General features: G+C 51.4%; 2 annotated features.

The window, feature by feature from the left end:
* Positions 242-747: an enhancer, noted in NCBI's record as "H3K4me1 hESC enhancer chr9:135120407-135120912 (GRCh37/hg19 assembly coordinates)". NCBI's record gives its function as "activates a minimal SCP1, AML or CMV promoter by ChIP-STARR-seq in naive H9 embryonic stem cells {active_cell/tissue: H9 hESC(naive)}" and the evidence as "EXISTENCE:reporter gene assay evidence [ECO:0000049][PMID:30033119]".
* Positions 748-1,253: an enhancer, noted in NCBI's record as "H3K4me1 hESC enhancer chr9:135120913-135121418 (GRCh37/hg19 assembly coordinates)". NCBI's record gives its function as "activates a minimal SCP1, AML or CMV promoter by ChIP-STARR-seq in naive H9 embryonic stem cells {active_cell/tissue: H9 hESC(naive)}" and the evidence as "EXISTENCE:reporter gene assay evidence [ECO:0000049][PMID:30033119]".

The following is a 13,620-nucleotide window of genomic DNA, read 5'->3' on the forward strand; positions in this document are numbered from 1 at the left end:
CACCCCAGAGAAACAGCAGCGCTGGCCGCAGTCGGTAAACAGCAGGCATTTCCTCCTAGTCATCAAGATGATAAAATGTCACCTAGAAGCAGAACTAGAGGCAGAACTTGAGACAGGGACAGCAGGGCCCAGCCCCAGTGGCCAGCCCTGGCCGGATCCACGAGGCTGGGGGCCCTGGAGCGTCAATGACATCCCAGCACTGTTCTTGTCTGGAGGCAAGTGGGCCACCCTCTGTCAGGCACCAGTGCCAGGCTGGCATGGGGGCTGCAGTAGAAGCCCCTGGTGCAGAAGGTGGGCGGCTGGGGGCTGTGAAGAGGCCCACACGGTGGTGCAGAGGGCATGCCTCTTTATGTCACCCTGGGTGTGTCCCCGAACACCCTCGAGGGGTCTGGGAGGTGGGGGGCCTCTGTGGGCAGTCACTCTGTCCTCCTTGACCTCCGTCAGCTGGGCCCACACTGCGTCAGCTTTTCTGGCACCGGCCTGTGCATTCAGGGCTGGGGAGGTGGAGCTCTTTGTAAATCAGAATGGCAGCCCCAGTCCCCGGGGACACACTCAGGCCCTGACCTCCCCGGAGGGTGGAGGGAATGTTGCCAGTGGCCATTTGGAAAAACTCTGACATCTTCCAGGCAGCAGGAGGAGAAAACGAGGTCAGCAGAGCCAAAAGTCCTAGGCCATCCTCTTTTCAAATGGCACACCCTTGTCCCCAGAGCTCATATTTTGACACCTGGTTCTGGGAGGTGAGGAGGAAAAGGCTCCCATTGTGCGCCTTGGATCATCATCACCGCATCCCCAGGCGCTGCGCTTACATTACTGCATCAACCCTCACCTGCACCCTAGGGCAAGGTTTTCAGCCTCAGCACCATTGACCTGGGGGGCTGGGTAATTCTCCATGGTAGGGCGTGGGGGCTGCCCTGTGCACGTGGGATGTGCAGCACCATCACTGGCTTCCATGTGGCACTTCAATGTGCACCGTCCCCAGTTGTTGCAACTCAAAGTGCCTCCAGTAATTGCCAAATTGGGGGCAAAATCGTCCTAGATTGAGACTCGCTGCCTCAGGAGGAAAGGATGGTCATGCCCATTTTACAGAGGGTAAGTGAAGGCTGGGAGAGGCAAAGTCACTTGCCTGGGGTCACAGTTTCTAAGAAGCAGAGAGGAGAGTTGAACCCAGGGCTGCCTGACTCCAGAGCCCAGTGTTTCACCCCCAGGCCAGGCAGCCCTGGGCAGGCATTGGGCATCCACTCCCCGGCGGGCGGCTGCAGCTGCCCCCCCACCTCCATGCCTCCAGCTGCCTGCCTCCTTTGGCGCCCACAGCCAGGTCAGGCTGAGCAAGGAACCCTGGGGAGCCCAGCTTCCTCTGAACCGCTCTGCTGTCAGGGGAAACGCCTCCCCTGGCCCTCTGCGGCAGCATGGCCTGTCCCCTGCCCCCACCCACTCCCCTAAATAAGCAGAATTGCTGCGTCGGCATTTCCTGCCCAGCTCATGCCTTACAGTTACGAGGCATTTATGGGAGCTTGGGGAGCAGCCAGCAGCATCTCCCGGCAGACCTGAGCCCGCCTCCCTGTCTCCCCAGGGGCCTGGTCCATCCCGGCACATCCCAGCCAGAAGAGTTAAGGGAAAGGCCCCAGGAAGAAAAACATTACTTATTTATTTTTCCGTTTAAACCACCTGTCACAACTTGTAGGAAAGTTCGAAAATACAGAAAAGCAAAATCATAATAATTTTTCTATTAAACTCACCCACAATTCTTCATCCAGAGCTAATAACTGTTAATACTTTTTTTTTTTTTTTTTGAGACGGAGTCTCGCTCTGTTGCCCTGGCTGGAGTGCAGTGGCACGATCTCGGTTCACCGCAACCTCCACCTCCTGGGCTCAAACCATCATCCCACCTCAGCCTCTGGAGTAGGGGGAACTGCAGCTGTGCACCACCACGTCCAGCTAATTTTTCATATTTTTGGTAGAGGCGGAGTTTTACTATGTTTTCCAGGCTAGTCTCGAATCCCTGGGCTCAAGCCATCCTCACTCCTCAGCCTTCCAAAGTGCTAGGATTACAGGTGTGAGCCACCACGTCCAGCATAACTGTTAATGTTTTCTGATAGATATTTCTAGTGTTTTTCCATAAAATAAAACCCACACTCAGACATCGCCCCCCACCCCTGCAATTGCTAAGCCCTAGCACTGAGGCTGGACATGCCTTATTTCAAGGGTCCCTTCAGTGATGCTGAGCGTGGGATCAATTAATATAATATGGCCATCTTACAGCTCCACATACCAGGGCTCTGAAAGCGTCCTGGCCAGGGACCTTAGCCACAAGCACCGAAACAAAACACCAGGTGATTTAAGAGGCAGAGGAGATTAAAGGATCACAGACCCCTCAGACACATGTCAGGAGAACAAGGTAAGAGTAGGGAAAGTGGGCCACGCGGTGGCTCACACCTGTAATCCCAGCACTTTGGGAGGCCAAGGCAGGCAGATCACCTGAGGTCAGGAGTTCGAGACCAGCCTGGCCAACATGGCGAAACCCCGTCTCTACTGAAAATATAAAAATTAGCCAGGCGTGGTGGTGGGCACCTGTAATCCCAGATACCTGGGAGGCTGAGGCAGGAGAATCCGTTGAACCTGGGAGGTGGAGGTTACAGTGAGCCGAGATCGCGCCACTGCACTCCAATCTGGGCAACAAAGCAAGACTCCGTCTCAAAAAAATAATAATAATAAAAATAAAAACTAGCTGGGTGTGGTGGCAGATGCCTATAGTCCCCCCCCCAACTTGGGAGGCTGAGGCAGGAGAATCCCTTGAACCCAGGAGACGGAGGTTGCAGTGAGCCGAGATCACGCCGCTGTACTCCAGCCCGGGCAAAGAGCAAGACTCCGTCTCAAAAAAACAAACAGCTGGGCTCAGTGGCTCATGCCTCTAATCCCAGCACTTTGGGAGGCTGAGGTGGGTGGATCACCTGAGGTCAGGAGTTCGAGACCAGCCTGACCAACATAGAGAAACCCCGTTTCTGCTAAAAATACAAAATTAGCTGGGCATGGTGGTGCATGCCTGTAATCCCAGCTACTCAGGAAGCTGAGGCAGGAGAATCGCTTGAACCTGGGAGGCAGAGGTTGCAGTGAGCTGAGATTGTGCCACTGCACTCCAGCCTGGGCAACAAGAGCAAAACTCCATCTCAAAAACAAACAAAAAAACAAAAAAGAGGAGGTAAAGTGGAGTCAGGAAGGGCACCCAGTATCCCGCCCAGGGTGGCTGGAGAGCCAGAGCTTCAGATGCTGCCTTGGGCGCTGCCCTGGGCACATCCCTCACCCCCAGGGCTACCCCCTGCTGGCCTCCCCACCACAGCCCCCACCACGCACCCGCACCCTCCAGTCCAGCATTTGCCACTCCAGCAAGGGGGGGTGGGCTCTGTTTCCTCAACCAGAGGAAGAAAACAAAGAAAGAATGTCCACCACGGAGCGGGTGTGTAAGTTGCCCGGGGTCGCACAGCCAGGAAGAGCCAGAGGCCAGGATTCAAATGCACTCTCTTGGGCAGGCTGCACAGCCCTGCACCTTTTTTTATTTTATTTTTTCCCTTTATTTATTTATCTTATTTATTTTTAACAACAATGGCCTCATCGTATACACATCCTTCTTTAGCCTGCTATATAAAACTTAGCACTGTATCTAGACTATCAAAGGAGGCCTTTTAAAATAAAAGAGAGGCCGGGCGTGGTGGCTCACGCCCACAATCCCAGCACTTTGGGAGGCCGAGGTGGATGGATCTCCTGAGGTCAGGAGTTCGAGACCAACCTGGCCAACAAGGTGAAACCCCCTTCTCTACTAAAAATATAAAAAATAGCTGGGCGTGGCTGCAGGTGCCTGTAATCCCAGCTACTCAGGGGGCTGAGGCAGGAGAATCGCTTGAACTCAGGAGGCAGAGGTTGCAGTGAGCTGAGATCATGCCATTGCACTCCAGCCTAGGTGACAAGAGTGAGACTCCATCTCAAAAATAATAATAATAATAAAAGAAAAAAGAAATGCAAGGCCAGGCACAGTGGCTCATGCCTGTAATCCTAACACTTTGGGAGTCCAAGGCGGGCGCATCACTTGAGGTCAGGACTTCCAGACTAGCCTGGCCAACATGGCAAAACCCCGTCTCTACTAAAAATACAAAAATTAGCTGGGCGTGGTGGCAGGTGCCTGTAATCCCAGCTACTCGGGAGGCTGAGGCAGGAGAATCGCTTGAACCCGGGAGGCGGAGGTCGCAGTGAGCCTAGATCATGCCACTGCACTCCTCTGGGTGACAGAGGGAGACTCCGTCTCAAAAAAAAACAAAAAGAAATGCAAAGCCCCACCTTTCATTTTTTGCCCAGCCTCTCACCCTCTTCCCCTCCCAGCCTGGGCCGGCTGGCAGTGGGACTCTGGCTCCCAGGGCAGGGGGTTGCCATGTACCCTTCTGACACCTCAGGGTCTGGCCCAGTGCCTGTGCTCCTGGTGGCACAGGAGACCTTGCTGCCCCACAGGGGCGGCCAGGTGGAGGCACCTGCGGCCAAAGTGCTCCAGATGGCTTCCAGCCAGAGGCTCTCTCCCTGGATGATGGAGCAGGTGGCCCTTGGGACCCAGCCAGGAGTAGCTGGAGTGAGGCCCAGAGTCCTGGGAGCTCGTGCCTTTCACTGCTGACCCAGTGCCCGCATTTCTGCCCCTGAAGGGGAGGGCAGCTCCTCAGGCAGAAGGACGGTGAGCTCTGGAACCTGATTTGGGCTTGAAGCTGTACCCCACACCTGCCAACTATACATCCTTGGGCAAGTTCCTCAGTCTCTCTGTGCCTTGGCCATCTCATCTGTGAAATGGGGATGTTAAAAATAGCGCCTGCAGGGTGGGGCCGTTGTGAGGAGTGAATGAGTTGAGCCGCGCAGTGTTTAGAACAGGGCCTGGCACCAAGTCAGCCATCCCTAAGTGTCAGCTGCTGTGATTGCTTTGTTTCCTCTGTGCCCCCTCCCCAAAACCTGCTAGGAGGGTTCAGGCTCACTCACACCTCCTTTCTCACTCATCATATTCCTGAGCACCTCAACGTGACCAGCCTGGCCCAGTGAACCAGACAGACACAGGCTCTGCCCTCCCGGAGCTCCCGGTGGGCCCCTCGCTGCCACCTGCCTTACACACCAGGCAGGATTGAGATTCTTTGTAATCTGCAGAGGGGCCCAAGCTTTTGTGCCAACAAGAAGGACCAGGAAGACTCCCGAAGCCCCTGCCCACCCCACCACCCTCACCTGGCCAAGCCCGGCCTGACTCAGCAGGCCCCAGAAACCTCGGTGCCTGTTCCTCAAACACCCGGACACCTCCTTCCCCTTTCCCCTCCTGCCCACAGAGGGCTTAAGATTGGGGATGGGGTTGTTTGGGGGGTAGGGGATGAGGGCAGAGGGAGGCTCACAGGACTGGGGAGGTGGGGCGTGAATGGGACAGTTGGGAACCAGGAAATGGAGTTTCCAGCGCCCTTCTAGCAGGCACAGCTGACTGTGCCACCTGCCTTCAGAGGTCTCCCCATGCCCAAGAAAGGACGCATGGGCCCCCTGGCTTGGCCCAGCAGGAACATGAGGGCCAGGCAGGGCCAATTCCCAAGAAGCTGAGCCTGCAAGGGACCCGTGGAGAAGATGGGCCTATAAGTTGAGGACGGGGCTCCTGGTGGCCCCCACAGCCCAGGCCAGGCTTGCAGTGCTGGGGAGTACAGGCCTGGACAATGCCTTTGACGGGGTGGCTTTGAGACCTGTGACTCGAGTTTTACACAGCCAGGCAGCGCTAACCCCGGAGACCAGGATCCCGACCTCTGGGTGTCAACACGGCGCCCCCTGCATTTCCAGGGCTAGGACAAGAGCACAGATGGAGGCTCCTGTACCACGTGTCTGGATATTTAAAGCCGCCCATCAAGCTGTTGAATAAAGTTCAGCCAGTCCTAGACAAGCAATCCCTTCACAGTGACCTGAAAGGCTGGGCTCAAATCTGTACCCTTGGACTCCTCCAGCTGTGGCCAGCACGTGGTGGGGTGGCTGGGCCTGGCTTCCCCAACCAGTCACCCTACCCAGGCTCTGATCCTGGGTGGCCTAGAAGGAGTGTGCAGGCTCTGGGGGGCACGCCCCTTAAGCCCATGGCGGGGTTGGGGAGGCCCTGAGCAGGGCTGGAGATACCCAGCCTCACCTCCTGGGGCCCCCTGGGGCCACAGAAGCTATCAGGCAGCCTCTGTGACCCCTCTTGGAAGACCGGCCACAAATACCCACAGTCCCATGGTGCACATAGGGGCAGAGCTCTGGGGTAGCAGGAAACCTATGAGTGGAGACATTTGGGCCCACCCCCAGCCAGCCAGCTGCCTGCTTGGCCAACGGCAAATGTGTACTGCTGTGCGTGCCACGCTGGACAGCCCTGTGCCAGCCACTGGGGCAGCCAAGGGAAGTCTTGAGTGAGAAGCAGCCTCAGTTCAGACTGACGTGTCAGGGGGACGTAAGCCCTGGTGTTGCTGGTTCTTTAGATCAGCATTTCCCTGGGGACAAGTTTCGTGGAAGACAATTTTCCGATAAATAATCAGAGTGGGGGATGGTTTTCAGGTGAAACTGTTCCATCTCAGATCATCAGGCATTAGATTCTCATAAGCAGCATGCAACCTAGATCCCTTGAATGCACAGTTGACAATAGGGTTCATGTCCTATGAATCTGGCAGGAGGTGGAGCTCAGGCAGTGATGCTCACTTGCCACTCGCCTCCTGCTGTGTGGCCCCATTCCTAGCAGGCCATGGACCGGTACTGGTCTGTGGCCTGGGGGTTGGGGACCCCTGCTCTAGATGTTTCAAGAAAAACCAGAAATCTCAAGTTTAATGTCAACCTTTGGATTTTCAAACATTGACAACTACCTTGTCTATCTTTAAAATCATGGGGACCAATTCTTCAAAAAGTCAAACAGAATTCACATAAGATCCAGCAGTTCTGCTCCTAGTACAGGTCCTCAAAGAATGGAAAGAAGGTATTCAAACAAAAGCTTGTACACAAATGCTCACAGTGGCACGATTCACAATAACCAAAGGCTACTGGGAAAACAGCACAAAAGCCACATTTGGGAAATAAATTGTCCATCAACTATCCATCAACTAATGAATGGATAAACAAAATGCTGTACAGCCACACAGTGGACTGTGATTCAGTCAGAAAAAGGCATGAAGCACTGATACACCTACGATGTGGGTGAACTTAAAAACATTATGCCGGCTGGGCGCGGTGGCTCACGCCTATAATCCCAGCACTTTGGGAGACCGAGGCAGGAGGATTACCTGAGGTCAGGAGTTCAAGACCTGTAGGGACCAGCCCTACAGGATCTGTGGGTTTTTCTCCCTGTGTGGAGAGATGAGAGATTGTAGTAATAAAGACACAAGACAAAGAGATAGAAGAAAAGACAGCTGGACCCGGTGGACCACTACCACCAAGACATGGAGACCGGTAGTGGCCCTGAATGCCTGCCTGCGCTGTTATTTATTGGATACAAAGCAAAAGGGGCAGGGTAAAGAGTGTGAGTCATCTCTAATGATTGATAAGGTCATGTGAGTCACGTGTCCACCGGATAGGGGGCCCTTCCCTGTTAGGTAGCCGAGGCAGAAAGAGAGAGGACAGCTTACATCATTATTTCTTCTATGCTCTTTTCAGAAAGATCAAAGACTTTAATACTTTCACTAATTTTGCCACTGCTATCTAGAGGGCAGAGCCAGGTGTACAGAGTGGAACATAAAAGTGAAACAGGAGAGTGACTGCTGAAGCACAGCATCACAGGGAGATGGTTAGGCCTCCGGATAACTGCGGGTGGGCCTGACATCAGTCAGGCCCTCCACGAGAGGTGGTGGAGCAGAGTCTTCTCTAAACTCTCCCGGGGAGAGGGAGACTCCCTTTCCCGGTCTGCTAAGTAGCGGGTGCTTTTCCTTGGCACTGACGCTACCGCTAGACCACGGTCCGCTTGGCAACGGGTGTCTTCCCAGACGCTGGCGTTACCGCTAGACCAAGGAGCCCTCTGGTGGCCCTGTCTGGGCATGACAGAGGGCTCACACGTCTTCTGGTCACTTCTCACCATGCACCTTTAGCTCGTATCTCTGTATGGCCTGGTTTTTCTTAGGTTATGATTGTAGAGCAAGGATTATTATAACATTGGAATGAAGAGTAATTGCTACAAACTAATGATTAATGATATTCATATATAATCATATCTATGATCTAGATCTAGTATAATTCTTGTTATTTTATATATTTTATTACACTGGAACAGCTCGTGCCCTTGGTCTCTTGCCTTGGCACCTGAGTGGCTTGCTGCCCACAAAGACCAGCCTGGCCAACATGGTGAAACCCCATCTCTACTAAAAATACAAAAGATTAGCCAGGGGTGGTGGTGGGTGTCTGTAATCCCAGCTACTTGGGAGGCTGAGGAAGGAGAATTGCTTGAACCCAGGAGGCAGAGGTTGCAGTGAGGTGAGATCGCACCATTGCACTCCAGCCTGGGTGACAGAGCAACACTCTGTCTGAAAAAATATATATATATATATATTACGCCACACGGAAGAAGCCAGACACAAAAGGTCAAAAAATGTATCATCCTTTTCTATGAAATGCCCAGAATAGGCAAATCCATGGGGACAGTAAGTAGACTGGTGTTCGCCAGGGGCTTGGGGAGGGGAGAAGGGGGAGTGCCTGCTTAATAGATACAAAAAATTAGCCAGGTGTGGTGGCTTATGCCTGTAATCCCAGCTACTTGGGAGGCTGAGACGGGAGAATCACTTGAACCTGGGAGGCAGAGGTTGCAATGAGCTGAGATTGCACCATTGTACTCCAGCCTCGGCAACAAGAGTGAAACTCTGCCTCAAAAAAAAAAAAGAAAAAAGAAAATTTGAAGTTTTTAGCCTCCAGTGTGGCAGCGGATTCAGGCAGGCTCATAGACAGATGCTCAAGGCACTGGTGAAGGACCTGTGGGCCACAGCGCACTCCCACGGCCGCGGAGTTTTACCCCACAGATGGCTGATTAATTACAAAGACGGGAAGCTTGTGGACACCCCCTGGAGCAAGTGACCAACTCAATGCCACCAATAACGGGACAAACATATTTTGTGCTCGTGATACAACAGCACAGGAAAGACACACCACCACTGACACAGTGTTCTTCCCCCAAATATGTAACCTGACTCTACGCACGAGGAAACAATCGGACAAACTCAGATAGTGAGGCGTTCTCTAAGATAACCGGCCTGCACTCCTCAACAATGCCCATACGTGTGCAGGAAGGCTTATGTTGGAAAAAATAATAGTAAAAACAAGAAAATAAATAAAAATGCCAATATTGTGAAAGACCAACAAAAAATAAAATAAAAAGGGAGTGGAGTTGTTCTGAATGAGGAAAACTAGATACAGGACAGCCACGCACAGTGCATGATTCTATGTTGGATCCAAATCAAATCCTTTTTAAAAAAAAAAATATAGCAATAGGCCAGGCACGGTGGCTCATGTCTGTAATCCAAGCACTTTGGGAGGCCGAGGTGCATGGATCACGAAGTCAGGAGTTCGAGACCAGCCTAGCCAATATGGTGAAAACCTGTCTCTCCTAAAAATACAAAAATTAGCCAGGCGTGGTGGCGTGTCCCTGTAATCCCAGATACTCAGGAGGCTGAGGCAGAAGAATCGCTTGAACCCGGGAGACGGAGGTTGCAGTGAGCCAAGATTGCGTCACTGCACTCCAGCCTGGGCGACAGAGTGAGACTCTGTCTCAAAAAAAAAAAACAAAAAAACAAAAAAAAAAATCAGCAATAAAGGACATCTTAGGACCATTGCAGAATTGTAACTATGGATGATATATTAGCTCGTGTTATTATATCAAGTTTAGATGTGATAATAGTGTTGTGATCATGTAGAAAAATGTCCTTATTCCAGCCGGGCGCGGTGGCTCACGCCTGTCATCCCAGCACTTCGGGAGGCCGAGGCGGGTGGATCACGAGGTCAGGAGATCGAGACCATCCTGGCTAACACGGTGAAACCCCGTCTCTACTAAAAAAATACAGAAAAATTAATCGGGCGTGGTGGCGGGCGCCTGTAGTCCCAGCTACTCCAGAGCCTGAGGCAGGAGAATGGCGTGAACCCGGGAGGCGGAGCTTGCAGTGAGTAGAGATCGCGCCACTGCACTCCAGCCTGGGAGACAGAGCGAGACTCCGTCTCAAAAAAAAAAAAAGGAAGAAAAATGTCCTTATTCCATAGAGATACATGGTGAAGTGTTTGGGAGTGGAATAGCATGACACCATAGCATACTTTCAGATTGCTCAATGAAAACTGAACACGTAGACAGAGGAGCTCATGACAGCCTGGGCAACATCACGAGACCCCGTCTCTAAAAAAAGAAAAAAAGAAACAAGGGAGTGCAATGTGGTGAGATTGGTGAATCTGGGCAATGGCTATTTAGATATTCCTTGTACTATTTCAACTTTTCTTTAAACTTAAAATTTTCAAAATAAAAATTTGGATAAGAAACAGGCCAGGCGCGGTGGCTTATACCTGTAATCCTAGCACTTTGGGAGGCTGAGGTGGGTGGACCACCTGAGGTCAGGAGTTTGAGACGAGCCTGGCCAACATGGCGAAAACCTGTCTCTATTAAAAGTACAAAAATTAGCCACATGTGATGACACATGCCTTTAATCCCAGCTCCCCAGGAGGCTGAGGCAGGAGAATCTCTGGATCCAGGGCAGCGGAGGCTGCAGTGAGCAGAGATTGTGCCACTGCAGTCCAGCCTGGGCGACAGAGTGAGACTCCATCTCAAAAGAAAACAAAAACAAAAATTAGCTGGGCCTGGTGGCAGGTGCCTGTAATCCCAGCTACTCAGGAGGCTGAGGCAAGAGAGTCACTGGAACCCTGGAGGCGGAGGTTGCAGTGAGCAGAGATTGTGCCACTGCACTCCAGCCTGGGTGACAGAGCAAGACTCTGTATCAAAAAAAAAAAAAAAGAAAGAAAGAAACAAAAAATGTTGAATGACTATTAATAGAGCTAGACTGATGTGGTTGCATTTATGAGAAGTGAGGAGAAAAATTCTATCCCTTCCACATACCATGCCCAAAAATAAATTCAAGTGGTTAAAGACATAAATGAGAAAAGTGAGGCTTTAAAACACTTAGGAGATTGATTAATTCAACTACATTAAAATAAAAACCAGCCAGGCGTGGTGGCTCACGCCTGTAATCCCAGCTACTTGGGAGGCTGAGGCATGACAATCTCTTGAACTTGGGAGGTGGAGGTTGCAGTAAGCCGAGATCACGCCACTCCATTCCAGCCTGGGCAACAGAGCGAGACTTCATCTCAAAAATAAAATAAAATAAAAACCTTCTGTACAACAAAAGACATCAGTAAAGAAGCACAAGCCACAGAGCAAGATAAAATATTGGAAATAAATGTGATACTTAAAAGATTAACATGGAAAATATTTGGAGAATTTTTCTTTTTTTTCTTTTTTTTGAAATGGAGTCTCACTCCGTTGCCCAGTCTGGAGTGCAGTGGTGCAATCTTGGCTCAGTGCAACCTCCACCTCCTGGGTTCAAGCAGTTCTCCTGCCTCAGCCTCCCAAGTAGCTGAGATTGCAGGTGCACGCCACCACACCCGGGTAATTTTTGTATTTTTAGTAGAGACAGGGTTTCACCATGTTGGCCAGGATGGTCTCCGACTCCTGACCTTGTGATCCACATGCCTCAGCCTCCCAAAGTGCTGGGATTACAGGTGTAAGCCACCGCGCCCGGCCAAGAGTGATCACCAAAGTAGTAAAATAGTGAAAAATGGAAACAACCCAAACACATAGGACCGAGAAGCTGGATGTGTGGCCCGCTCCCATGCTGGAATTCTCTAGCTCTTCCAATGAGTGAACTGCAGAGGAATCCTCACCCTGAGCCTGGCTGACACGTGGGACTGGATAACCCTGTCGTGGGGACTGTCCTGCCTATAGTAGGATGCTCAGCAGCACCCCTAGCCTCTACCCATGAGACGCCATAGCATCCTCCCGTGTGACAACCACAGATGTCTCTACATATTGTCAAATGTCCCCCTGAGGGGGCAGAATTGCCCAACTAAGAACCACATTAGACAGGGCACAGTGGCTCACGCCTGTAATCCTAGCACTTTGGGATGCCCAGGTGGGCGGATCACTTGGGGTCAGGAGTTCAAGACCAGCCTGGTCAACATGGTGAAACCCCGTCTCTACTAAAAATACAAAAATTAGCCGGGCGTGGTGGCAGCCGCCTGTAATCCTAGCTGTTCAGGAGGCTGAGGCAGGAGAATTGCTTGAACCTGGGAGGCGGAACCTGGGAGTAACCTGGGAATTGCTTGAACACGCCACTGCACTCCAGCCTGGGCAACAGAGCGAGACTCCGTCTCAAACAAACAAAAAGAACCACATTAGAGCCATATGAATCCTCATGGATAAATCTTAAAACATAGTGCTGGGTGGAAAATCTATATCACAGAAAGGTGGATGCAGTATAACACTTTTCATATGAGGGCTAAAAACACACCAAGAAAACATGATGGCTGCGCACATATGTAGTGAGGTCTCAGGCTCATGTCACTTCTGCAAAGGGAGAGAGGGACAGAGCATGCCACAGGGCTCCAACTGTATCTATAGTTCTTCATTTATTTCCTTAAAAAGTAAAAGATCTAAGGTAAAGAAACAGGAATGGTGGGTACAGGGTGTTCCTTATACTATTATTATCCTACTCTGTATGCGTGAAATAGCTCCCTTTAAAAAAATAACAGGAGGCCGAGATCGCGCCACTGCACTCCAGCCTGGGCGACAGACGAAGACGCCATCTCAAAAAACAAACAAAACAAACAAAGAAACAAACAGCTGCCTCAAAAACAGAAAAGATGACGAGAAGGAGAGGTCTTAGAACGCATCCTTATCTGAAGGACAGGATACAGTCTTGTTTTAGGAAACTCCAGCTGCTCTGTGTCATTGAAAGGGAAGAGGAGAGACCAGATGGTCCAAGTTCACCAAGGCACTGGGAAGGACCTGAGACTGACTGCAGGCCCTTCATGAAAGCAAAGCCTGGGTGTGTTATAACCGCCAGTCCCACTCTCCCACAGTGAGGTCCATCCCGGCAGGGGCTGAGTCCACCTTGACCACTGAGACAAACAGACCTCGTGATGGACTCAGTGTTTTTAAATTGTGGAGCTTGGACAGGGAGGGGCGAGATGGAGAACGAGGTATACACAAAAGAGAACAATGTGATGAGGGCATGAAGTGTGCTTACCAACCTTCCCTCACCCAGAGGCTGGAAGAGATTTTAGAGCTTAACAGAAAAAGAGTGGGAAAAGGACACTGCTGGGCAAAAGACATGAACTAAAGACTTCTCGGCTGTCCCCATCAGTGGCACGGTGGTCTCAGCAGTACCGATGTGGATACTCAAGAACGTGAGGCTACCGTGGAAATGCTTTGCTTAAACCACACGTGAGTTTCCAAGGAGTGAAGATCCCCAGGGAAAGCATCTAGGACCCTGCCGTGTTGGCCCAGCTCTGGGAAGTCAATCGACGTGGACCCCTTACTGTGTTAACTGCTAATCAGCCTTCTGTAAAAATGATATTGCAAATTCACCTGTAGCCGTCTATTTT

The sequence above is a fragment of the Homo sapiens genome, chromosome 9, assembly GCF_000001405.40.
Source record: "Homo sapiens chromosome 9, GRCh38.p14 Primary Assembly".
Lineage (NCBI taxonomy): Eukaryota > Metazoa > Chordata > Mammalia > Primates > Hominidae > Homo > Homo sapiens.